At 36.8% G+C, this 27,448-nt stretch overlaps 1 protein-coding gene across 35 annotated transcripts in view; it reads right to left on the bottom strand.

Annotated features, from left to right (window-relative positions):
• STAG2 (STAG2 cohesin complex component) overlaps window positions 1-27,448 on the bottom strand; it is a 142,097-nt gene that overhangs the window by 57,574 nt on the left and 57,075 nt on the right. For 18 of the 35 annotated variants that reach the window (NM_001441077.1, NM_001375366.1, NM_001375373.1 and 15 more), the window contains 5 exons: window positions 22,412-22,552; window positions 19,165-19,243; window positions 13,958-14,122; window positions 7,460-7,556; window positions 2,438-2,514 (listed from right to left, as the gene is read on the bottom strand). In NM_001441077.1, coding sequence (NP_001428006.1) covers window positions 2,438-2,514; window positions 7,460-7,556; window positions 13,958-14,122; window positions 19,165-19,243; window positions 22,412-22,455 — 462 coding nt within the window. In that variant the 5' untranslated portion in view covers window positions 22,456-22,552. Of the gene's footprint in view, window positions 1-2,437; window positions 2,515-7,459; window positions 7,557-13,957; window positions 14,123-18,395; window positions 18,519-19,164; window positions 19,244-22,411; window positions 22,553-23,651; window positions 23,717-27,448 lie in introns of those variants that run through there. The other 17 variants (NM_001042749.2, XM_047441783.1, NM_001375367.1 and 14 more) reach the window with 2 other exon arrangements.

Here is a 27,448-nt window from a genome sequence, read left to right as displayed (position 1 = left end):
AAGCATGAAAAGGTATCTTTATCTCACCTTTCTTCTCCAATAAATCCTCAAAGTAGGCAAGAGAACAATATATAAAGGTAGGGGTACCTCTGAACACTTCAGCTCTTTATTTAAGATCAAGATAGATATTCTGAATTCACTTTAATCAATGAAAATATATACCAATTACTCAGGTTAAAAATTTTAAAAGCCTCCCTCATCAAAACAAAACATCCTTGTGATAAGCACAGATATAAAGCAAAAGCAAACCCAAACCAAACCAAAATTATATTTTTAAATGGATTCAAAATGATGGAAATTATACTCTCAAATAAAATGTATGATGTATAAATCAACAAAACATTAGAAATATGTTATTAGCTTCAAATACATCACACAGTCAACAGATATAAACAATCATAATTTTTTAAAGAAATGGAAATGTAGCTAGTATTGCCTTGGAAGACTGGTACTCTGGTTTTCCTTTGCACAACAAGAGGGCATTCTCTAGTCTCAGGGTAAACTGAGATTCTCCACAAATCATTAAAAACAATGAAGTACTTAGAAATAAAAGCAGAGACCAATACCATATAGAACATCTAAAAGTAACGGTCTCTGACAAGAGTATCCTAGAGATGTAAGGTAATTCAGTTCAGTAAATTTTAAAAATTAATTTTTGTCAACAGAACATTTTTTAAAATCTGAAGTCATGTCACATGTAAGTGCAGTTGCGTCTCATCTGAGAATAAGGTCCTGATATTCCACAAAAAAAGTTTTTTTGGTATTTTCTGATTGGCTAATTTAGTGACTATATTGAAATATAGCATCTTAATTGTTAGCAACTTGGTTTGCTGACATTTTCAAATCATATTTCAGGACAATTATCTCAAATAGTTGTTCCCTTTTAGTGAGAAAGTTCTCACTAAAACATTCAATATTAAAAGGGTAAAAAATGCCACTATTCAAAATTACTTCTCAACTACTTGGGGAGTGATTAATAGCACTTAGCGATCATCAAAGCCATTTTAACTCATCTATCTTTTAGAATAATAGTTCAAAGCTCCTTCATCAGAGTAAGCAAGAAAAAAAAGACCAAATAAAACTCAAATCAGACAACATTTTCTACTTGAAAACCCACAGCGAAAAATTTTGGAAGAGTAAAAGTACTGGTGCTGAAATACAGCCGTGACCCAAACAAACCCAAATCCCTTCCTTGAAGAAGCTTAATTTATAGTAAATCTATGTATGTATTTATTGGTAACAATACTTCAAAGAGCTCAATGAAATAATCAACTCAATCTAGCCCTAGGGAGGTAAGGGGGGGACAACTCAGTCTAAACTAATATGTAATCTTTGTTGTTCTTAAGAGTTTTTAAACAATAAAAGTATCTATATACTCCTTTGCCCTAGCTATCAGGTTCCCTAAATATTGCTGAAACCTTCCTTTTACAACATTCCAGGATATGTTCTTATACTTTTCCTTGACATTTTCATTTTTGTCAATAATAACTACCATTTATTAAGTCCTTGCTATGTTCTGGGAACCATAAAATGTTAAGCAATTTTCAAACATTACTCAATTCAATCTTCGTAACAGCCTTATGAGTAAAGTACTATTAGGCCCATTTTACAGATAATGAAATTGATACTGGCCAGATGCAGTGGCGCCTACCTGCTGTAATCCCCGCACTTTGGGAGGCCAAGGTGGGCGGGTCACTTGAGGTAATGAGTTCGAGACCAGCCTGGCCAACATGGTAAACCCACACCGCCCACCACCCCCCACCATGTCTCTACTAAAAATACAGAAATTATTCAGGTGTGGTGGTGGGTGCCTGTAATCCCAGCTACTTGGAAGGCTGTGGCAGGAGAATTGCTTGAACCCAGGAGGCAGAGGTTGCAGTGAGATCATGCCACTGCACTCCAGCCTGGGCGACAGAGTGAGACTTTGTCTCAGGAAAAAAGAAAAAAAAAAACAACTGACACTAAGACAACAACCTGCCAAAGGTCGCACAGGCATCATTTGATTAAATCTAATGCCAAAGCTCTTATTTACAACATTAATGCTTACAATTTTTTTTTTCCTTTTTTTTTGATGGAGTCTCACTCTGTTGCCCAGGCTGGAGTACAGTGGCGAGAGCTCGGCTCACTGCAACCTCCGCCTCCCAGGTTCAAGCAATTCTCCTATCTCAGCCTCCCAAGTAGCTGGGACTACAGGCACACACCACGACTCCCGGCTAATTTTTTTTGTATTTTTAGCAGAGACAGGGTTTCACCATATTGGTCAAGCTGGTCTCGAACTCCTGACCTCAGGTGATCCGCCTGCCTCGGCCTCTGAAAGTGTGGGATTACAGGCATGAGCCACCATGCCCAGCCTAATGCTTACAATTTAATAATACTTTCAAAAATAAGTCAAGATAAACATGCATAAGTTATCAAAACACTTAAGGTAGTAAGTTACCTCATCGAATTCTTCAGTCATTTTTCGAATTATCTCAGAGTTCTGCATATGTCTAAACATTTCTGCTGTGACAACTCCTGAAATTTGCAAATGTCAGAAGTTAATATATGGTGTGATAAAAAAATAAAGAAAACTTCCAAGTAAGTCTCTAACACTAAGAAGTCTATGGTCACACAATAAAAGGCATACTTCTTCAACCATCATCTAATAATCTTTACCATGATACTCTAATCTATAAATAAAGCACAAACAAATGCTATCTATTCTCAGTATGCACAAGAAAACAGCCCCATACTTCTGACAGATATCTTTTTTCCTAACACAATTAACTTTGGCCATTTCTACCTGACTCACTTTACTCATGCTGTAATATTTATATTGGCTTTGTCTCTTTAACATAAACCATATGTTATCAAGAGTGAGATAGCATCTAGTATAACACTTAAAACCTTGGGGATGAAGCTGAAGATAAGGAAAAGAGTAATAGCTAGAGTTCACTTTAGTCAAGTCTCTTTATTAAGCACTATTGCATGTAAAGTAACTACATCCTAATATCCTCTAAAAGAGCTAAGTAGTAAATTGTAGTTCCTGCCCACCTAGACGCCTGTAATCTAGTTAAAAGTTAAAACTAAAGAATACCAAAAAGAAAAAGAAGCTGTCAAAAGTAGTACATAATCAAAGCCCTGATGTGTGGAAATGCCAAATGCTATAGCTCTGACTCCACCTCCACTCCATACCCACCAGAAAAACCACACATGTTATAAGTTAGAAAATAAAGAACTATGTCAAAGAGAAACAATTTGATAAGGACCTTTAGAATCTTACACAGGAGGATGGGAGAGGAAAAAAGAAAAGGTACACATTAGAAGTAGTAAAACATTAGTCAGGTGGAGACCAAACATCAGAAAGGAAATTTCTAGTGTGCAGTAAGAAGAGATACATGAACTTCCACTGATGGGGCATCAGACTGAGAAAGAGAGAGATGGGGGCAGGGGTAATCAACGTAAATACTAGATTTTCAAAATCCTGTTTTTATTGTTGAATTATTTGCTTACTAGTCTTCTCACTAGAAATACCATAAATATAGTAATATCTAAAAGAAGAATGTCTTGGTACAAGAAGATGAGATTTATAAATAAGAACTAGATATAATTAACATAGATTTTTTTCAATTGACCAGAGCAATATTTTGTATATGCATGCATCTGTGTGTGTGCGCGCGCCTGTGTATATACATAGCTGTAAATCCATAATCCCAGCTTCAAAGATGAGGAAACTAAGGCTTAGGCTAAGGCTAAAAGAAATTAAATAATTTGTCTGAGACTATTCACCTAAATCATGCTGCCTCCCTCTTATCTGGGTGAGATTAATTTCTAGTCGTACCCTAGAAGAATCCTTACTTACCGCAACTTAAAAAAAAAAAAAAATGATTGTTTTAAAAAGTTGATGAACTCAGGAGAAAGCACCATTTCTCTGGCTAAAGAAACACACTCTTGGCCGGGTGCGGTGGCTCATGCCTGTAATCCTAGCACTTTGGGAGGCTGAGGCGGGCGAGTCACTTGAGGTCTGGAGTTCAAGACCAGCCTGGCCAATATGGTGAAACCCCGTCACTACTAAAAATACAAAAATTAGCTGGGCATGCCTGTAATCGCAGCTACTTGGGAGGCTGAGGTAGGAGAAACGCTTGAATCTGGGAGGCAGAGGTTGCAGTGAGCCGAGATCACACCACTGCACTCCAGAGCCTGGGCAACAGAGTGAGACTCTGTCTCACAAAAAAAAAAAAAAAAAAAAGAGAGAAGAGGAGAAGAGAAAACACTCTCAAAAACCTTTTGAAAGGCTTTTGTTTTTAATCTAGAATCACGTATCTCTCTTCAAAATCTTCCCATACTTCATACCCAGGTGCTGTATACCTGGGAATGCTAGAGAACAAAAAGTAACTAATGACCTGAACATTTCTGTGAAATTAACATTTACATATAAATATATCTCAAAGCAAACATACTGCATACTTTTCAACAATCCCTCATTTCTAAAGCTCCTCCCCGTCTCATAAACCACAAGACATCCAGAAACCCAAAAACAAGCAGAAAAGGACCTCAGAGCAGAAAAGAAAGTAGCTATCACAAACTCCATTCATTTAACTCTTGAGGCAGGTATGAAGCCACCATTAGGACATAAGGCCAGAGCCTGCTGCCTTAAAAATGTGGGGGACATTTTTAGCAAGACTGCTAAAATCCGGTAAATCTAAAAGTGATAGAGCAAGACCCTATCTCTATTTTAAAAGAAAAGAGAAAGAAAAAAAGAAAAGTGACAGCTGACTAGGAAAAAAAGAAGAAAACACTGGCCACAGAATCACCAACGGAGCAGTCAGGAGCAGCATGGAGTTAAATATCCCTCCATGCTTCAACAGCTACAGAAGCCATCAATGTATTGTAGAAAAAATAACTGATGCTTATAACAACTTTGGGTCTGCAGGAAATGTTAAATTACAATAAGTATACTTAAAGAAGTTTCTAAGTCATTTATAAAAGAATTATATTAAAATAATTTTGTGTGTATAAGTAATTAATGGCTTTATCTTTGATTATATAGTAAATTCCCCTTCATGGAGATTGCCTGATTCTAAGATAAATATTACAGCAGTGCTTAAATTAACCTTACAATTTAAGTTTTCAACACCTTAAGTTTTTAGAAATCTTGACAAACTCACTTGTGACAAGGTCCAAATGTTGAGTTAGCAAGCTCCTGATTTGTAAACAAACTGATGCCAAAAAAGGAATGAATTTGACAAAGGGAACATGCTCTGCGGCCTTGTTTTAAAAAAAACTACAACTCAGAAGCCTAATTAAGAAACTCAGGCGGGAGGGGTGGCTCACACCTGTAATTCCAGCACTTTGGGAGGCCAAGGTGGGACAACTTCTTCAGGCTAGGAGATTGAGACCAGCCTGGGCAACAGAGAAAGACCTGTCTCTACAAAAAAAAATTAAATTAAAAAAAAAAAAAAAGAAAGAAAGAAACTCATGCCAAAAACAGACAAACAAACAAACAAACAAACAAACTCACTCATGCCAGGAAGGTGGCTCATGCCTGTAATCCCAGCACTTTGGAGGCTGAGGTGGGACAACTGCCTGAGTTTAGGAGATTGAGGATCAGCCTGGGCAACACAGCCAGATCTGTCTCTACGAAAAATAAAAACTAGCTGGGCATGGTGGTGCACGCCTGTAGCCCCAGCTACTTCGGAGGATGAGGCAAGAGGATCACTTGCGGCCTGGGCAACATGGCAAAACCCCATGTCCACAAAAAATAAAAACAGAAACAAAAAATTAGCTGGGCGTGTTGTCGTGAGCCTGTAGTCCCAGCTATTCAGGAGGTTAAGGTGGGAGGATCACCTGAGCCCAGGAGGTCAAGGCCGCAGTGAGCCATGATCACGACACTACACTCCAGCCTGGATGAAAGAACAAGACTCTCTCTCATAAAATAATAATAATAATAATAATAATAATAATAAATAAAAGGGGAGACTTAAGATTTAAAATTTCAACTCATTACGTTATTTCTGGCATCTGTTCAGCTGTCTGCACTCAACCTTCCATTTGCAAAGAGCCTAATGAGAAAGGACATAGCCCTTGATTATATGACACAACAAGCAGGTACTTATATCCATCCTACCCCAGAAAAAAATGACTGGATATAGGGAAAAATAATTTTAGTATAGCTCATCTTTAAACAGTCAATCTGGTTCAGAACCTTAAGGATACCATAGTAACATCATGACAACATCTCCTCTGAGCAGAAGTCAGCTGAATTTTCTAATATTGAATTAAAGCTACTTTTATTTTAGGCAAATGAAGTAAACTAGGCAGCTTTCTATATGCTATGATTAAGACAATTTTTTAAATTTCTCAACACCTTAGTGACATTATAAAGATCACAGGCTCAAGAATTTAATATAGTTGTCTATCTTTCAGGCCTCACAGACAGGTAACATTTAATACACATACTACACTGAATGTTGTGATCAAACTCTACCAATGTTACTTGTTTTTCAAAGATATTACGGTATCTTTAAAGGAATACTGCAGAATTGAATTGCTTCTTACAATTCAGTTTCTGCATTTGTTTAAATAAATCATTCTTTACCATCTTAACGTTTTATATCTATTTTTAAGCAACTTCCTCTCCCAATTTCTAATGCTCTAATGTTGTTGATGCCACTTTCATTAAAAAAAAAAAATACCCCCAGAAATCTCCATAAAATGTATTTGCCCGGGCATCATCTGAAATTTCAAGGATGAGCTAAGTATTGGGAGACACCAGATACATCAGAACCTGCCCGTAATCTTGACTGGCTCATTTATTGATCCATATGAGGATATATGACTCCCCAACTTACATAATTTTGTCCCCCTGCCAAATGTTTGTCCTAAATACTTCTGTCTTAGGGAAGAAATTTCTGTATTTTGTACTTTCATCTTTCCCAGTTCAAAATATTTTTAAAATAAAGTGAAAACACTTTAAAGACACCACTACACACAACAAAATTTCTTTACCTTTTAGAAGAAATGTCGATTTTATCAATACCTTATTTAACTTACTTAACGTAACTTACTTACTTGCTTGCTTGCTTACTTACTGTTATTCATGGCACTTTTTAACTCCCTACACTGTACGATTACCTGTCATCTGAACCTGTATCTCTTCATTATCTTCCTCCTCCCTTCTTAATCAATTTCTTTGTTCCTAAAACCAGATGCTGAAAGTGGGAAATATATCTAATAAAAGTAACATAATAATTATAAACTGCTAAGTTTTTAGATAACTTTCACATATGAATAAAACTTTGTCAATAGACTTTCTCTCTTACTTTGTCCTTTGCTCTTTTTTCCTTACAAATTTTATATGGATATGATGCAAATAATGCCTTAGCGTTATTTACCATGTAAAGTGCTAACAACATCTCTTTAGGTGGAACAACGAAGTGACTATTTGAGAGCTGCTGATTTCAAAATAAATATATCTTACCTTTACAGCCTGAACACTGAATAAAAAAGTTGATAAGGTCAAGAAGTGCTATATCTCGGTCATGCTTGTATGATTCTATCCAATCATCTACCACCGACTACAGCAGAGGGAAAAAAATAAAATCATTAGCTTCTTCTAATTTTCTCAAAATCAATTAAGTCTGATAAAGTCATAAAATTCAAGATTATATAGTATCACATTACTTTAATATAAATACTTATACACTGAAATTTAAAGTTCAATTTTAACAATAATAAAATAGAATCGAATTCAGTAAAACAATTATCTGATAACACAAAATGACCTATCAATCTTCTATTTATTTTGCATTGAAAAGAATGTGGAAACTATGGAAGTCAATTCCATCAAGTATAATTACTTATGATTTCTCAGTGACATTAAAGAAAGGAGAGAATTTCAAATAATTAAGACAATACAGGGCAGGTGTGCTGGCTCATGTCTATAATCCCAGAACTTTGGGAGGCCGAGGTGAGTGGATCACTTGAAGTTAGGAGTTCGAGACCAGCCTGGCTGACATGGTAAAACCTTGTCTCTACTACCAATACAAAAATTAGCCAGGCGTGGTGGTGCACGCCTGTAATCCCAACTACTCGCGAGGCTGAGGCAGGAGTATCACTTGAATCCAGGAGATGGAGGTTGCAGTGAGCCAAGATCATGCCACTGTACCCCAACCTGGACAACAGAGTGAGTGAGACTCCATCTCAAAAAAAATAATAAAAATAAATAAAATATTCTAAAATTATATTGTAATGGTGGCTGTACAACTCTGAATTTGCACTTTAAAGGGTAAATTTTATAGTATGGTAAATATATCTCAATATGGTTATTTCTTAAAAAAGAAAATAGGCTAGAACTAAAAATAAAAGGAATACTTTATTCCTTTCGGGGCAAGAGAGGCAACGACAAAACTGATTTTCAATTTTTAGGCTGGGTGCGGTAGCTCACGCCTGTAATCCCAGCACTTTGGGAGGCTGAAGCCAGCGGATCACTTGAGGTCAGGAGTTCGAGAGGCCAACATGGTGAAACCCCGTCTCTACTAAAAATACAAAAATTAGCTGGGTGTGGTGGTGCATGCCTATAATCCCAGCTACTCGGGAGGCTGAGGCAGAAGAATCACTTGAACCCGGGAGATGAAGGCTGCAGTGAGCTGAGGTCGCACCACTGCACTCCCGCCTGGGCAAGAGAGCAAGACTCTGTCTCCAAACAAACAAACAAACAAAAACAACAACAACAAAACTTTTTAAATAGAGCAAATTAAATAAAATCAAGATGATAAACAAGAGCTAGTATAAAAAACAAAAGGTTGGGAGAGGGAAATGTTTCTAAGTTATATACCAATAAATAGGAAATCCAGGTACAAACAATGACTAAAACATGTAGAATCTAATGTACAAAAAAGATACTATGATTACACAATAAAGATAAATCAAGGAAAAATATCTAAGAAATACCTGGTTCAGATAGACTGACTGGAATTATTCTAAAACTTTACTTAATTTCTACTTTGTTGTATTTACAACAGCTTGTTTATATTAACCAACATAATTTACAAAAGAAATGTGCTCAGTATTTTTCCCAAATATGATATAGGCAATAAACAGCAAAAGAATATATCATAGAGACTGTGACAGTTTTAAAACATGGCCCCAAATTATTGGACATTGCTCCCCAGTAAGAGGGTCTATGTCATCTTCTCTAGAATAGAATGCAGTGATGCTTCCAAAATTAGGTCACAGAATGCCAGGCAGCAACTGCACTGGTCTCTTGGAGCACTAGCAAACTGGACACTTCTCTCAGGACATTCTCTCCAAACCCAGACGCCATACTGTAAGAAGCCGTAGCCACATAGAAAGGCCATTTGTAGTTATGCAGCTAACAGTTCTGGCTAAGTCCAGCCTTCATATCACTACAGACTAGGCACTAAACATGAGTAAAGAAGCTTCCAAATGATTATAGTCCCTAACTGTGTTAGTGCCAGGCACTCAAATGGTCCAAGCTAAGGCCCTTGACATCATAAAGCAGACACAAGTCATCTCCACTTAGTTCTGTCTGAATTCCAGACCCAAAGAATCATTAGGCATAATAAAATGATTGTTGTTTCACATCACTAAGTTTGGGGTGGTTTGTTATGCATCAATAGATAACTGGAACAATGGCTACTCTCATCAATAAAGATGCAAAATATTCAATGAACTCTTACAAAGAGACCACTACATCACATTAAAAAGTAATTCATTAAGATCAAGTAGAGTTTACACTAGGAAAATAAGTCTGCTATAATAAAAATAATGCGAGCTACTGAAATATGCTTAAAATTTTTAATCAAATAGTATGCTGAGAACTTATGTAACAAAATTCAACATCTGTTATATAATAAAATTAAGGGGCACACGCATACTTTCTCCATTCTTAAAACATAACAACCAGTTTTAAACCAACAGCCATTCTTGCATTTATTGACTATCACTTATAATTACTGAGAGAGACAGCCTGGCCAACATGATGAAGCTCCGTCTCTACCAAAAGGTACAAACAAAAATTAGCTGGGCGTGGTGGCATGCACCTGTAATCCCAGCTACTTGGGAGGCTGAGGCATGAGAATCACTTGAACCCGGGAGGCGGAGGTTGCAGTGAGCCGAGATCATGCCACTGCACTCCAGCCTGGGTGACAGAGTGAGATCTTGTCTCGAATAATGATAATAATAATAATAATAATAATAATAACAACAACAACAACAACAACAACTACTGAGATAGGTATATCCTGGCAATGCAAAAATAATGAATAACACATGATCTTTGATCAAAGAATTAGCAATCTAGAGTCAAAGTCAGGCACAGTATAAGTGCTATATAATGAAAAGATAAGAGTAAAAAACACATTGGAAAGGAAAAGTAGTAGTGTCTGAGAATGCTTTTCAGAAGACTGACATTTGATTCGCTCAGTCCTATTTGATATGCAAGGGGGGAGTAAAATAAAACTATTGCAAACAACAAGAAAAACAAAAAGAAAAGTCTAAGGGCAGAGTATATACTGTGACTGGAGGACAGAAAACATGGCATAAGGAAATCTGAGCTAGAAATTTTAGATAAGAACCCTTGGAAGTTTCTAAACAGAGGACTTCCTCCATCAAATTTGGTCTTAAAAGGGTAACACAAGTGGGAACACACATAACAAAATAAAATTGTTGAAAAGATTCCAGGAAATCAATGGAAAGACAGTGCAGACATTCTCTCTTAAGAGGGAAACACATTTCAAAACAGAAAAACAAGCTAGGCACAATGGCATGTGCCTGTAGTCCCACTTACTGGGGAGGCTGAGGCAGGAGGATTGCTTGAGCCCAGGAGTTCAAGTCCAGCCTGAGCAACATAATGAAACCTCATCTTAAAATAAAAAATGAAAACAAAAATGGCACAGATAGAGGTACAATCTTAATATGACAAGCCATAAGCAACACAAAAATAAAGAAAATATTCATTTTTAGATAAAAATGGAATAGCCCAATTAGCTGTGGTTATGAGTCAGGATTTCTCATAGCTGTGGTCTGAAGGGTTTTGTGTTCAAACTGTATGTTGAACTGTAGTCAATGTTATGGTATTAAGAAGTGGAGCCTATAGATGGCAATAAGATCACAAGGCCCCTGAGAGCTGCCTTGCCCCTTCCATGTGAGGACACAGTAAGAGGATGCCATCTATGAACCAGAAAACAGGCCTTCACCAGATAATGAATCTGTAGGCACCTAATATTGAACTTCGCAGCCTGCAAAACTGTAAGAAATAAATTTCTGTTTTTTATAAGCTTTCTAGTTTATGTTGGTTTTTTGTTTTTGTTTGTTTTTTTAGACAGGGTTTCACTCTTGTTGCCCAGGCTGGAGTGCAATGGTGCGATCTCAGCTCACTGCAACCTACGCCTCCAGGGTTCAAGTGATTCTCCTGCCTAAGCCTCCTGAGTAGCTGAGATTACAGGTGCTCACCACCAAGCCCAGCTAACTTTTTTATTTTTAGTAGAGACTGGGTTTCACCATGTTGGGCAGGCTGGTCTCCAACTCCTGACCTCAGGCGATCCACCTACCTTGGCCTCCCAAAGTGCTGGGATTATGTGAGCTGCTACACCTGGCCTATGTTAGTTTCTTTAATAGCAGCCCAAATGGACTAAGACACTGATGTTAAAAAGATAGCAGAAGAAAGAAGATTAGTGCATTTAACTACTTAGAACAAAATATTAGAGAAAATGTATAATACAAAAAAAAGAAGGAAAGTAATGAAATGCAATACAATGTAACTGAAATAATTTATCCTCTTGATAAAAATAACCCAAAAGGAGAACTAGAGAGAGAAAAGTAATTTTTAAAATTGGGGAATGACTAAATAAACCATAGTACAGCAATATAATAAGACATTATTTATTTTTTAAAAGCCAAACATATTCAAAACAGTAATTTAAAACATTACACAAGAAAAAGAATCCACACTCTAATCATGATATACAAGCAAACATTAATAAACGGATTTAAAAAGGTGCATTAGAATGGTATGAATAAATCTGGCACCTTTTAAGTTCTTTGCTCTGTAAAATTGGCGAAAGCTCAAACAATTAACAAGTATTTTCACATTTTACATGTAAAACTGTTCTTTATTAGCCTCATTTGACACATTTTATTTATAAAACCACACATATTAAGCTAATTCTATATTTCTAAACAAGGTATTTGTGTCAGTTTTTATTAACAAAAAGCCTGAACGGATAGTTCTCAGATAACCATTCATGTGCACCCATCACTGATTAAAGTTATTTCTATGAAGAAATACTATTCTCCACAGTCATAAAAAAGAATGCAATTGTGTCTTTCACAGCAACATGGGTAGAGTTGGAGGCAATAATCCTAAGTGAATTAACGCAGGAACAGAAAACCAAATACCACATGTTCTCACTTGTAAGTGGAAGCTAAATATTGAGCACATGTGGACACAAATGTGGAAAACATAGACACTGCGGACTACTGGGGGTAGGGGGTGGGGACTGAAAAACTACCCACTGGATACTACCCTCACTTCCTAGGTGCAATATACTCATGTACAAACCTGTATATGTAATCCCTGTATCTAAAAGTTGAAATTAAAAAAAAAAACTATTGCCTGTAGCTTTTATAAATTAAATTAAAACTTTATTAAGTATATATACTCCTTGAGTATTGTATTTATTCCACTTTCTAATGGTTTAGCCAACATTAGAAAGCCTAAATGCTTCTATTGTCATAAAAGTATGCAGAGAAAACATAATTCGAATGATTCGACATGAATATGCCTCCAACTTTTTATTCTTCTAAGAAACAAGCACAAATAATAAAATTTGTAATAGACAACAGTAACTAAAATAATTCATTCCACTAAAGTGGATAATAATTATATTAGGTCACTCAACCAGGAATTCCATATGGGTAGAAGACTTCGTATTTTAATGGCATCTATATAAATTCAGGGAAAATTGAGACCTCATAGCCATGGTTTACATCAGCATATTTTTGACCAAATTATTTTTTACCTTAGGCCATTAAAAAAAAATAATGGGTTGGGGCTGGGCGTGGTGGCTCACGCCTGTAATCCCAGCACTTTGGGAGGCCGAGGCAGGTGGATTACTTAAGGTCAGGAGTTTGAGACCAGCCTGGCCAACATGGTGAAACCCCATCTCTACTAAAAACCAAAAATTAGCCAGCCATGGTGGCGGGCACCTGTAATCCCAGCTACTCGGGAGGCTGAGGCAGGAGAATCGCCTGAACCCAGGAGGCGGAGGTTGCAGTGAGCAGAGATCGTGCCACTGCACTCCAGCCTGGGCAATAGAGTGAGACTCCATCTCAAAAAAATAATAATAATAATAATAAATAATGGGCTGGGCATGGTGGCTTCCGCCTGTAATCCCAGCACTTTGGGAGGCCAAGGAGGGCAGATTACTTGAGGCTAGGAGTTTGAGACAAGCCTGGCCAACATGGTGAAACCCCGTCTCCACTGAAAATACCCACCAAAAAAAACAAAAAAACAAAAAAACAAAAAAAACAAACAAACAAACAAACAAAAAACACTAGCCAGGCATGGTGGTTTGTACCTGTAATCCCAGCTACTTGGGAGGCTGAGGCAGGAGAATCGCTTGAACCCAGGAGGTGGAGGTTGTGGTGAGCCGAGACTATGCCACTGTACTCCAGCCTGGGCAACAGAGCGAGACTCTGTCTCAAAAAAAAATAAAATAAAATAAAATAAATAAGAAAAAAGAAAAAAGCATGCAGCAGAAAATGAATCAAAACACAGCACAAAAGTCTTATATATGAAGAAATACATCCCAAGAGTTTTCTGATGATTTTGTTGCTTTTTTCTAATAAGTAGTGTATGTTTAAAATGCAATTAGAAAAATCAGAGCTACACTCTATATAACTCATTAAAGTTTAAAATGTACAAATGAACTGGGAAGAACAACATAAATCTTACCTGCATAGCACTCTTGCCCATTTTAACAACTTCAAACAACATCATGTTTTCCACTCCATTCTGTTGGTGATGACCATTCATTCGGTTTGGACCAGAAGGAGGTTTTCCTCCTCCATTTCCACCTTTGCCCTTTTCTGCTGGGCCCTTTTTGCCTTTTTTACAAGTCTGCATAAAAAATACGAGGTGGTTAAGTTATATCACTATCCTTGAGAGTTCAAAACACAGCTACAGTAGAAGTAGCTGATAGGGTACATAACATGCTTAAACTTGCCCTAAAGAATTCCATCCACTTATAACAAAATGATATAACTGTGACAGCCTCTTTGTGGTGTCCATTTTTTCAAGTATACTACCATGCCTCACATGACATAGTAGTTAGCAGCATAGCCTCTGCAGACAGACAGACTCTGTGGGTGCAAATTTCTGCTACTATTAGCTGAGTGATTTTAGGCAAATTACTTAACCACACTATGTTTCAGTGATGTTTTTCTAATTTGTAAAGTGAGGATAAAACTGTGCCTACCCCATAGGGTTGCTGCGATAATGAAAACACAAAGTACTTAGCAACATACCCAGCATATAATAAAGTCAAAAAATGTCAGCTATTGTTATCACTGTAAAATGAAAAAATTATGTTAAAAGGAGTTCAGTAAATGTTACATGAATCTTAATCTGGTAGGAAGACCAACAGAAACAATGACACAAAATACTGATTTGAATCTATTTTGAAAAGTAATATAAAATCACAGACTTAAAAGCCCTCAAAATATCAACAAAGTTTGAAAAACACTGCAAAAATATCTCTCAAGTATAATCAGAGAATTCTCAAGGGTGTAGTAAATCAAGGTAGCTATCTCCAAGTTTTATATTACTCCCTTATGCAGCTTTTGGATGCAGACTGAAGTGGGCAGCAAGAATAACCAAACTCATTATCAAATATGTACCTTATACTCAGTTCAACATTTTATTTGTATTGTTAGTCTTAGAAATCATTGCAGTGCTCTGAACAAGGAATTCTGAACATTAGGAGTAGGTTTATCAATCTCATTCTTGTTCTAGGCCTCCCTCCAACATTTAGTCATCATGAAAATTCAATTAATGAAAACTATGGAAATGAAGCCCATTATAACAAAAGTTGTCAGTATTGGTGGGGGGTGGGGACGCGCGGGTAGGGGCATCAAAAAAATCAGTGAAAAGGTTCCCTATATGCCTAAGCTATAAAAATACCTCCCATAGCTCTTATACTTTAAGAAAACAAGCCATTCCCTAACTCGGAATCCTCATTTCTCAAATGCCAGGGTTGAATTAAAATACTTTACAGAAAGGTATTCCGACCCCTGGATTTGATGATTTCTTAAAGGTCTCTTTTAGACCAACACATCTCTACGATCTAGAAAGCAAGTGTTGGCCAACTTTCTGTAAAGAACTGGATAGTAAATATGTTAGGCTTTGTGGGCCACATACAGTCTCTGTAGCACATTCTTTATTTTTAAAACTATTTAAAATTATAAAAACAGCCCAGCGTGGTGGCTCACGCCTGTAATCCTAGCACTTTGGGAGGCCGAGGTGGGCGGATTGCCTGAGCTCAGAAGTTCGAGACCAGCCTGGCCAACACGGTGAAGCCCTGTCTCTACTAAAATACAAAAAATTAGCCAGGCATGGCGGCATACGCCTATAGTCCCAGCTACTCGGGAGGCTGAGGCAGGAAAATTGCTTGAACCCAGGAGGTGGAGGCTGCAGTGAGCCGAGATCACACCACTGCACTCCAGCCTGGGTGACAGAGCGAAACTCTGTCTCGAGCAATAAATAGGCCGGGCGCAGTGGCTCAAGCCTGTAATCCCAGCACTTTGGGAGGCCAAGGTGGGCGGATCACGAGGTCAGGAGATCGAGACCATCCTGGCTAACACGGTGAAACCCCATCTCTACTAAAATTACAAAAAAATTAGCTGGGCGTGGTGGCAGGCACCTGCAGTCCCAGCTACTCAGGAGGCTGAGGCAGGAGAATGGCGTGAACCCAGAAGGCGGAGCTTGCAGTGAGCCAAGACTGCGCCACTGCACTCCAGCCTGGGCGACAGAGCAAGACTCCGTCTCAAAAATAAATAAATAAATAAATATATATATATATATATATATATATATAAATAAAAATAAATAAATAAATAAATATTAAAACGACCGGGAGCAGTGGCTCCCACCTGTAATTCCAATACTTTCGGAGGTTGAGATGGGAAGATTGCTTAAGGCCAGGAGTTCAAGACAAGCCTGGTCAACAGAGCGAGACCCCATCTCTATAAAAAAAAAAATATATATATATATATATATATATATATAAACTATTCTTAGAGCTCCTGGACAGTACAAAAACAAGCCACAGATTGCGGATCTCTGATCTATAGCGATGCCTACAAATTTCTTTCCACTGAAAGCCTGTGGTATTTATGTACTTTATTCCTTAGAGGGTCCCTTCTTCCTCCAAGAGTCCAAAACGACTCAACTCTTAACAGTTACTTTAAACCCCTTCCCTGAAGGGGAACACCTGAAACATCTGAAACATATTACTTGTTAATTTGCAATACAGTAGTCCTCCCCTGGGTTTTACTTTATTCAGTTTCAGTTACCCTTGGTCTGCTGCAGTCCAAAAATATTCAGTAGGAAATTCTAGAAATAAACAATTCAAAAGTTTTAAATTGCACACCATTCTGAGTAGCATGATAGAATCACTCATCATCCTGCTGTATCCCACCCAGGACGTGAATCATCCCTTTGTCCAGCATATCCACGCAGCTCATTAGTCACTTACTAGCCATTTTGGTTACCATATTGAAAAAATTCAATATGCAAGGTTCTGTACTATCCGCAATTTCAGGCATCCACTGGGGGTCTTAGAATGTATCCCTGAGAATAAGGGAGACTGCTATATTCTGTAAATGAGATTCAGTCTTTGTGAACCTAATTCATTAATTCCTGATTGCACAATGAAAGGCTTTTGTCCCCAGTAAAAGCATTTTCAGAGATAAGGTTGAAAGAAAAGATCAACTACAACAGAATAGACTAGTAAAATATAAAATGTTAATTAACATGGAGCTGTATATTTGCAGTTTATCTATCAAATGCCTCAATAGTCCCTGTCAGTATGAAAAACTAATTGGGACAATTAAAATGGCAGAATGGGTATGCTGTGCTAGAAAAAAAAATGTGCAAGGAGTGATAATAACAAAGGAAGCATTATACAAAAAGCAAATACGCTAACCTGTGTACAACCTTGGAGAGAAAAAAAACTTCTACATAAAGACTTTAGGAAGTGGTATAGTATAGAGGGTTAAGGGCACAGACCTGAACTCAAATCCTTTAACCACTGGGATTCTCTGGACTTCAGTTTCCTACCTATAAAATAATGGTGTTTTCTCATCTACGCAGTTGTTCAAATATTAGATTAACATGTGAAATTGTTAGCACAACACATGGAACATACATAGTATAGTCTCAAAATGCAGTTGCTATTATTGTAATAAATCCTTGACCTGTCCCAACACCTCACCCACAGTAGTAGCTATATAACCTTAACCAAACTGTGGCACAAAAACTTCAGAGTCATCTACTCAGGTGCCACCAAGAATCTTGTCCAAACTTGTAAATTAAATCAAAGGCAAAATAGGTTAATGGAAAAAAAATGGTTTTCTAATAAATTATACTGTCCAATAGAATTAAGGTTATCTTTGGATAGCCGTAAGTTAATATTTCTATTCATATCCCTCTCTCGAGTCTTTTTAAAGAAATAAGAGAGCACACAAAATTATGAAACACATGAATTATGAGCACTCAAAAAATATTCCAAGCATTAGTTAAATAAATTATGTTCCATACATTAAACGTGATGTTTTGCCACAATTAGAAATCACAAGAGAATGGCCAGGCGTGGTGGCTCACACCTGTAAATCCCAGCACTTTGGGAGGCTGAGGCAGGAGGACTGCTTGAGCCCAGTAGTACAGGACCAGCCTGGGGAACATAGTGAAATCTCATCTCTACAAAAATAAAAAATAAAAGGAATTACAGAGAAGCCAGGCATCGTGGCACAGGCCTGTGGTGCCTGTAGTCCAGTCGAGAGGCTGAGGCAGGATAATTGCTTTAGCCCAAGAGTTTGAGGCTGTAGTGTGCCATGACTGTGCCAGTGAATAGCCACTGCACTCCAGTCTAGGCAACATAGAGAGACCCCATCTCCAAAAAAACAAATAAATTTAATTTAAAAAATAGAAAAAAAATAAAAGAGAGTTTTACAGTCACTTATGGGAAAGCTGTTGACAACATACCATTGAGTTTTAAAAGCACATTAAACTGTTTGCATAGTATGACTCCACTTAAATAAAATGTTATCATCATGTTTATACATAGGTGTATGAATAGAAGTATGTGCATCAAAATGTTTAAAGAATAAATTACCTCCAGGTGATAGGATTATGGAAAAATTTCACTTTGGTCATCGTAAACTTCTGTATTGTTAAGACTTTTTCAAAGTATGTCATGAGACAATATAAATCCAAAATTCATTTTGAAAAACAAATGCTGAACAACAAAAACAAGTTATCTTTTGCATAATGTATTTACACACATGCAGAGTCAAATATACTTTCCAAAACAACAAAATAATTTAGCCATTCGCCAAGTTATATCCAGCCCTCAGGCTAACCCACTCACACTTTAAACTTACATTATATTGACTCAGAACTTAACTTTGTAATTTTTTATCTTTCATATTACTTATAAAGAGTAAAACTATTGTCATTTGTAACCCATTAGCCTTAAACTGGTTGTATGTTACATTTTTAGAGTGCTTTAAAGATTTTATATATTGCTTTCCTTTACATTTTATTACTTGTGGGAAAACAAAAATAAAGCCAACAGAACATTGCATTCTGCTTCACATACTGTGCTTTACGAAATAAACTACTGGAAATGTATTATTATTATTATTATTATTATTATTATTATTATTATTATTTGCAACTTTACAGCAGTGTAAATAGATCCCAAAGGCTACCTGGTCTAGAAGACAAAAGGACCACATTTACTCAGAAGGCTTACCATACCAATCAGCTCCCACCCCCTTAAAAAGCCATTTTTAAAAGATAAAACTATCTGAGACATAACTTAAATCTGTGTGTGTGTGAGATCTTAGGAAACAAAATAAAGTCAAATATTTGATACATACTTTGCCTTTGCCTTGCTTTTGGTTTTTTCCTTCGATATCTTCAAAATCTGTGTCAGAAGAAAAATGTGTTTCTGACTCCCTGTGACAGAAAGATAAGAATTAAAACCCTTCCTTAGAAATTTATATTGAGTTTCTAATTTTTGCCATATTTTCTAAAAGAAAGGCTTGGTTAACTCATTACAAAACTTCATATTAGCATTATAAGTAATTAAGATGTTTCCCCAAAACATCATACTATAGCACGTTACCAAACACACAAGATTACATAAGCAGCTACAAAAATAATAATCTAAAATACAAATACCTAAACATTTTTGTTAATTTTTAATCAAAGTATGAAAACTAATCCAGTGGGTCTCAAAATTTAACCCTAGGAACTGTGGTGTTCCATGTAATCGTTGGTTCCATTTCCTACTTCAAAGATCACAGTGCTGCGGAAAAACTGTATTTTAATACTAGGCATTGGAGGAACTTTATTAGGGAGTTTTATGATTATGGATCCTCTGATCTCTCCTACCTCACTCGAAAAGTATTTATAAATCTAGGTGAGTCAATATACAAAACATGTATTTCTGAAAGGGTACTTATAAAACCTTTTTATAAACTAAAGCATTTGAAATACACTAGGGAATTATGCTAAGTGATCAATATCCTTTATGAAGTAAAGAGGTGATGAGCTATAGTCAGGAGAACAGTTTTGGTACTAAGTAACTGTGGATCTTATACAAGTGACAATCTCAATCTTCTCATCTATAAATAATATATACGCAGGAAAGAACGAAATCTCTAAAGTCTCTACAATCTCCAACATATGAATCTATAGTCCTAAACAACTGTCCCTTGTTCTGGGTTGGGGTAAGGCTAGTTTGTATAATCTGGATTTTCTCACAAACATATGGAAGCCGACCGATTTAAATAAATATGTGTGATGCTTTCCAAATGAGTAAACATGAGTCTATCTAAATAGTAGTAACATACCCTCATTTAAATGCTTAAAGCAAGGCATACTTATATTAGTATTTGGGTCACACTGGATTTTAGAATTGAGCCACATCCATAAAAGATAAAGGTTTTTCCACCCTAAATGTGTAAACCTAGCACCAGCTCTGCTTAAAATAAATGGAATCGAAGTGAAAGGCTATCTTTATAAAACTAGTATTCTCAATCTAGATTTCTTCTATTTCCATTTTATTGCTACAATAACCAGTTGCCCAGAGGCTATGAGGTAGCAGAGGCTGTGAGGTAAGAATATTTCATAAATCTAAAATAATGATTAAGATGCTAGCAGGAAAAAAAATACTATTTATACAGCACTTACATATAAAGTAATTTAAACAATGTATGGAAGGTGGTGGCAATCCTAACTATATCCTACAATGTTGAGAGGAAAGGGCCTGTAATAAATACCATTCCCTAGAGTTAATGCACCAAAAACTGAATGACTACTATAATATTAACCCTGAAGCTCATGTGTGTTACATCTTAAGAAGATTGTTGTCATCAATAATCTTCTCACATGTCTATATGGTCTTGCAAAAAAAAAATGAAAATTTAAAATATCTTGATGTATAAGTAATATTTATTTCTTCCCAAGCGTTTCGTAGGACACCAGCTCTCTTAAAGAGCTAAGTAACTGCTTTAAGTCTGAAGAAAATCACTATAGTCTTCACAATGTTCCAATGGCCAGAGTAATCAAGGGCTCAATTATCCTCTTAATACTCATCTCCAAGCTATCCCAACTAAGAGTGAAGCACTAGAGGTTTGGTAACTTACTGAAAAACTTTCTAAAGAAAGCTTAAGTGAGTAATCAGAATGGAAGTCTAAAATACTCCCAACCAAAGAAGAAATACTCTCCTAAGCCGTTCTTCAATGCTTTCCTGTGTTTTTAAGATCAAAAGAACAACAAAAACTACCCTAGGTGAAATAACAGTTATGTTTATTAAACATACTGTATTAACCATTCAGTGACCTGAAACATCCTGAGTCATCTATCACACGACTGAATCTTCCATTCCTCTTTACTGTGCCCTGCACCCCACATACCCAGTCAAATGCTGGGCCTGTTCCACCCGAACAACATCAATTCCCTTTTATTCATTATCCTATTTCAGGTCCTCATTATTTGAGATATTCTAACAGTCAATAGTCTAGTCCATAATATAAACCCTTTTTATAGTCTCTAACCAAGTATATAAGAAACTTCATAATCTTCTCTTTATATCTTTAAAATATGAACTCATAAAGGCAGCAGGAAGTACCTAACTTAATTCCTCACAGGATCTAATGTAACATCCTGTATACAGCAGACACTTAATATTAACAAAGGTAATAATTAACTTTTACAAAGATATGAGACTTAGAATACATAAAATCCTCACTAAAAATGCTGTTTTGTGGGAACCTGAATGTATTTGGTCCCAGAAGATTCATAAACTCCACTGAAGATAACAAAATTATTAAAAATATGAAAATCTACATATGATCAAAAGTAAATGCTGGCTGCCATTATGTACAAAGGTATTAGTCTGTTGTTTTCAAAATTTTTAGCAACTAAACTCTCTTTTCAAGTCAAGTCTCATAAAGATCCTAATAAAAAATACAGTGGTGGGGGTGGGTAAATAAAGGGATTCACGGGCAATTTAAAAGTTCACTTTTCACTGAGGCAACTCATGAAACTGTACCTTAGTATGAAAATCACTGTTACATAGAGTAGTTCAAAATCTTTCAAAACCAAGGAGTAATTAGAATAAAAGCTAAGGAGTACAGTTAGCTTTTCAGATGGGGGTAAAGAGGATACCTATGTTGAAAACACTTTCTGGACCAATATACATGTAACTTATTTCTGCAATCATCATTTGATTTTGTAACAGAAATCTGACATTACATCCTAAATAGTGCCACATGGTATACCTCACTAATGAGAAAACTTTATTTTTAGGAATTTTATGATGCTCTCTCAAAACAGTTGCTATTGCAAAACCAAGTATGGACTCAGAACTACACAACAAAAAATAATAAACTGCAGCATGTAAACTAAAAGACAAATTTAAAACACAACAACAAAAAAGTACAGAATAATTATTATTACAGAGCCTTGATGAGTGCTGATATAAACTCTTGCAAAGCATAAAAGCTATTTTATATATTAGATCTTCTCGAGCAGAAGGAAATTTAACTGAAGTTAATGCATTCCCCATTTTGTGGAATAAACAAGTATTTAAAAATTATCAGAATATAATTTACTTACTGTAGTAGATTAAAATCAGTTGGTATTTCTGGAGCTGCTATCATTTCTTTATCATCTTCTGGAACACCTCAATGTCAGAAATATATTCATATATTTACGTGGGTAAAATGGTGGCTTGCCTTCTTTCTTCTAAGACAATTCCTTTAAAAAGGAGAAAATGACATTTATTACAAATGCACCAAAAATATTCGGAAAGGATATCCATACTCAAAAGTTAAATTCCCCAGTGCCTACTAATGTGTTTTAGTAAATAAGGATTTCATTCCCTTGCATTTGACTGCTTTCTTTTTTTTTTTTTTTTGAGACACAGTCTCACTCTGTCACCCAGGCTGGGGTGCAGTGGCACGATCTCGGCTCACTGCAACCTCTGCCTCCCAGGTTCAAGCGATTCTCCTACCTCAGCCTCCCGAGTAGCTGAGATTACAGGCGCGGGCCACCATGACCAGCTAATTTTTGTATTTTTAGTAGAGATGGGGTTTTGCCATGTTGGCCAGGCTGGTCTCGAACTCCTGACCTCAGGTGACCCACCTGCCTCGGCCTCCCAAAGTGCTGGGATTACAGGCATGAGCCACCGTGCCTGACCTTGACTGCTTAATCTAGATATGGACTTGTTGTAACACTCGCAGCCCCACAGTAATAACACATAGGGGAAAAAGAAGCTTATAAAACAATTGTTTTTAAATTTTCTTGTGATTCTCCGCCTGGCTTTATATATATATTAATACATCCTAAATAGAAACAGGATATGACTCTTACTGGTCCTGAAATCCCTATGAGAACTTTAAACCATAATATGAGATGCCTGAAAATACAACCTTTTGCTGGTATCATGCACATACAGTTAAAAGGAGCTAATAAAAAAAACCTAAGATATAACTTTAAAACAGATTTTCCTGCCCTGGAAACATACAGTCCAAAGCCTGGCTTATTAAATAAATAACCACTTCATGATAATAACAAACTTTGTTGAGAAGAGAAGGGGGAAAAAATGTTAGATCTGATCTATTCCTCTCCCTCAAGGAACTTACGATCAATTTAAATGCCAATAATTTCATACGAACAACAAATGAATGCCATTTTTGACCAAAGTACATGTAAAAATGGCAGACAGAAAGGGTATTATGTCTATGTTTTGAAAGTCAAGGATGCATTTCCTAAATGAAGAAAATGACCTAAAAGCAAACAAGGAAGGAGAAAACAGGCTGAAGCTAAAGTCTAAAGCTCTTAGTCTTATGTGTACCTTTCTCTTATAATTTTCTTATGTTTTTCTTTTATTCCCAAGTGAATTTAGTACTCGGTGGCCACCTAAAGAAAAAGCAGGTAAGATTAAACATATCCAATTAATATTAAATGCTCAAATATAACATACTGACAAACTCCTAATGACTTCTCCCAGTAGGTTAGATATCACACAAGAAACAGCTCAATTTGTCTTGGTAATTTTATCTCTCTAGAAAACATCATCAATGGTTACTAATATTTAATTAATATACAAAGTTCAAAACATTGTATTTCCTAGCTTACTTAAGCTAAAACAGAAAAATATTAATTTTATGTTTTGTGAACAGCAAAATAACAAATGAGGCAATAGGAGAAACAAGAATGAATAATCCACAAATTAAATCCTGAATAATCAAATAACATATACCACCACTTTATTTTTTTTCTGAAAGATACTCAGATTTTAAAATCTTGTTTTCAGCCAGGCGCAGTGGCTCACGCCTGTAATCCCAGCACTTTGGGAGGCCAAGGCGGGCAGGTCACTTGAGGTGAGGAGTTCCAGACCAGCCTGGCCAACATGGCGAAACCCTGTCTCTACTAAAAATACAAAAATTAGCCTCGTGTGTTGGTGCACACCTGTAGTCCCAGCTACTCGGGAGGCTGAAGCAAGCTGAGATCATGCCACTGCACTCCAGCCTGGGTGACAAAGCGAGACTCTGTCTCAAACATACATACATACATAAATTTTAAAATCTTATTTTCGTTGAGACAGGGCTTACTCTGTCACCCAGGCTGGAGTGCAGTGGCACAAATCATAGCTCACTGCAGCCTCAAACTTCAGGGCTCAAGAGATCCTTCTACCTCAGCTTTCTGAGTAGCTAGGACTATAGGTACTCACCACATCTGGCTAATTTTTTCTTTTCTGAAGTTTGTCATCATATGTAAGATACACATTCACCTCCTAAAATGCTAACTTATTTATAAAAGAAAATCATTTTGTTTCTTTTAAAGGAACTGGAGAGGCACAGAACTAATAAATTCTAATGAACAGGTCAGGTCATCTAGACGGCAAGATGAAAATAAAAAAGGTCATGTGATCCTTGCTGTATCTGTCTGCGTCTCTGAGCATTTCATCAAAACCAAAGTTGCTGCTTTCCTTCAATATAATTTCTAAGCACACTTTAAAGGTAGTTCGTAAATACAGTCACCTAAGGAATCACAGGTGATGAATATAAAGAATGCATCATCTCTGAGAAGCAGAGAATACTAAATAAAATGAATATTGTGCGATATACTGGATTCTTCTAAATAGCACAAAATTAATTTCTACTGTAAAAGAAAGAAGCATTCCCAGGCCAAATTATTTTGCAAAGCATAGGCTATACTAACATGTACTTTGTAATTAGAAACCAAAGCAAACACAAAAGCAAAATCAAAGATGTAAGATGTATCTCTCAAGACAAGATAGATGCGCGCATGTGCGTATTATACGTATATAAAAAATAGAGACAGACAGACAAGGTCTTACTCTGTCACCCGCACTGGAGTGCAGTGGCGCAATCACAACTCACTACAGCCTTGACCTCCCCAGGCTCAAGTGATCCTCCCATCTCAGCCTCCCAAGTAGCTGGGACTATAGGCACACACTACCATGGCCCAGCTAATTTTTTCTTATTTTGTAGAGACAGGGTTTCACCATGCTGCTCAGGTTAGTCTTGAACTCCTGGGCTCAAGCAATTCACCCACCTTAGCCTCCCAAAGTGCTGAGATTACAGGCGTGAGCCACTGCGCCCAGCCAGGTACATATATTTTTAAAAGAAAAAAAAAGTTGTGTCAGGGTCTGATAGAAAAATTATTGAACTGGCCAATTCCCTATCCTAGTGAAATAAGATTTTTTTAAAGTCTCTAAATGTTGAAAATTCATCCAACCAAGTGAAAGTATCCACCATGTGCCAAATGTAGTGCTGGGCAATGAGAATACAACAGTGAACAGGAGAACAATGATCCTTGTCCTTAATACCTGTTAAGAAATGTGATTATTATTTCTACGAGAAGGTACCTACTTGCCACTTATTATTATTAAATATAAGAATGCTGGCCGGGCGCGGTGGCTCACGCCTGTAATCCCAGCACTTTGGGAGGCCAAGGCAGGCGGATCATAAGGTCAGGGAGACCATCCTGGATAACATGGTGAAACCCCATCTCTACTAAAAATACAAAAAATTAGCCAGGCGTGGTGGCAGGCGCCTGTAGTCCCAGCTACTCCAGAGGCTGAGGCAGGAGAATGGCGTGAACCCGGAAGGTGGAGCTTGCAGTGAGCCAAGACTGCGCCACTGCACTCCAGCCTGGGTGACAGAGCGAGACTCCATCTTAAATAAAAAAAAAAAAAAAAAAAAAAGAGTGCTAAATTCCATGTATCCGAGTGTTTGCTAGTCATTCTCTAAATGACTTATTTGCCATAAAAACAGTTCATCATAGCTCAACAAAAAATTACAAATATTAAAATTGCTTTGTAATTTAGAAGGGAAGGAACCCAACGGATGAGTTGGGATTAGTAGTTTCTAAATGTAAACTTTAATCTACAGGAAGAGCTGAGAATGTTTACATCTTTATTTTAAATGTCTACAGCTGCATATAAATACAATTTGCAGGCCATGCATGATGGCTCACACCTACAATCCCAGCGCTTTGGGAGGATGAGGTTGGAGAATGGCTTAAACCCAGGAGTTCGAGACCAGCCTGGACAACACAGTGAGACCGTATCTCAACAAAAAATCAAAAAATCAGCCGGGCATGATGGCACACACCTATAGACCTAGCTACTTGGGAGGCTGAGGCAGGAAGATTGCTTGAGCCCAGGAGGTAGAAGCTGCAGTGAGCCATGATCACACCATTGCACTCCAGCCTGGGCAATGGGGTAAGACTCTGTCAATCCATCCATCTATCCATCCATCCGTCCGTCTGTCCATCCATCCATCCATCCATCCATCCATCCATCCATCCAATGTGTTTCCCCCACAGACTTACATTAACAAATTCAGAGTATCTTCAAATGTGCTTAATACCATTTGACTTCAGCTGGGTAACCCAAAACTATAAAAACATGTAATGCTCAAAGAAAAGTATCAGTTTAAAAATCAAACTCACCAAACAATTTCTGCACTATTGCGGGTTATTAACTTTTTAAAAAATATGCTCCAAGATCACAAGGTGGAGCTCTCTCCTAGTGTCTAGAAAAAACTTTTGAGGTTTTCATCATATGTAACAATTCTCTATACCTACTATAAAAGAGTTAACATTCTAACAGCTTTGGAGGATAAAGCATAGAAATAAAATTTGCATTAAGTCTCAATCACTATTTTCCTTCTGGGAAAAAAACCTATCCAGCAACAACTAGCTTCTGCTTTTCCTTACTGAAAACCAGGCAATCCCATTTGTAGATAAGCTAAACAATATATATTAAAGTAAAACTACTTGCTTAAGTTCACATGTATAGTGAGCTGCCATTAAAGGCTATTAATTATTAGATTAAAAAGTAACAGATGATCGCGTTATTTCTAATTCTAAATATTAAATTCAAGTAACACTGCTTTTAATATAAACAGACCTAAAAGCTGAAACTTAATCACCGTAACTTCTCAGGTTATCCATAATTAGTATATATTTATGGGCTGTTACTCAAAGTTTAGATTACAAGTTAAATTCAATAACAAGAAACACCTGTCAGATACCTATTACTATAGCACATTAATACAAGCAAGTAAAAATTATGATGATGCTTGAATCTTTGCAACTCCAAAAAAAGAATGACTTCCT

This window comes from Homo sapiens, chromosome X (assembly GCF_000001405.40).
Source record: "Homo sapiens chromosome X, GRCh38.p14 Primary Assembly".
NCBI lineage: Eukaryota > Metazoa > Chordata > Mammalia > Primates > Hominidae > Homo > Homo sapiens.
Note: the sequence above shows the minus strand (reverse complement) of the source record. Positions and strands in the feature narration are given on the sequence as shown.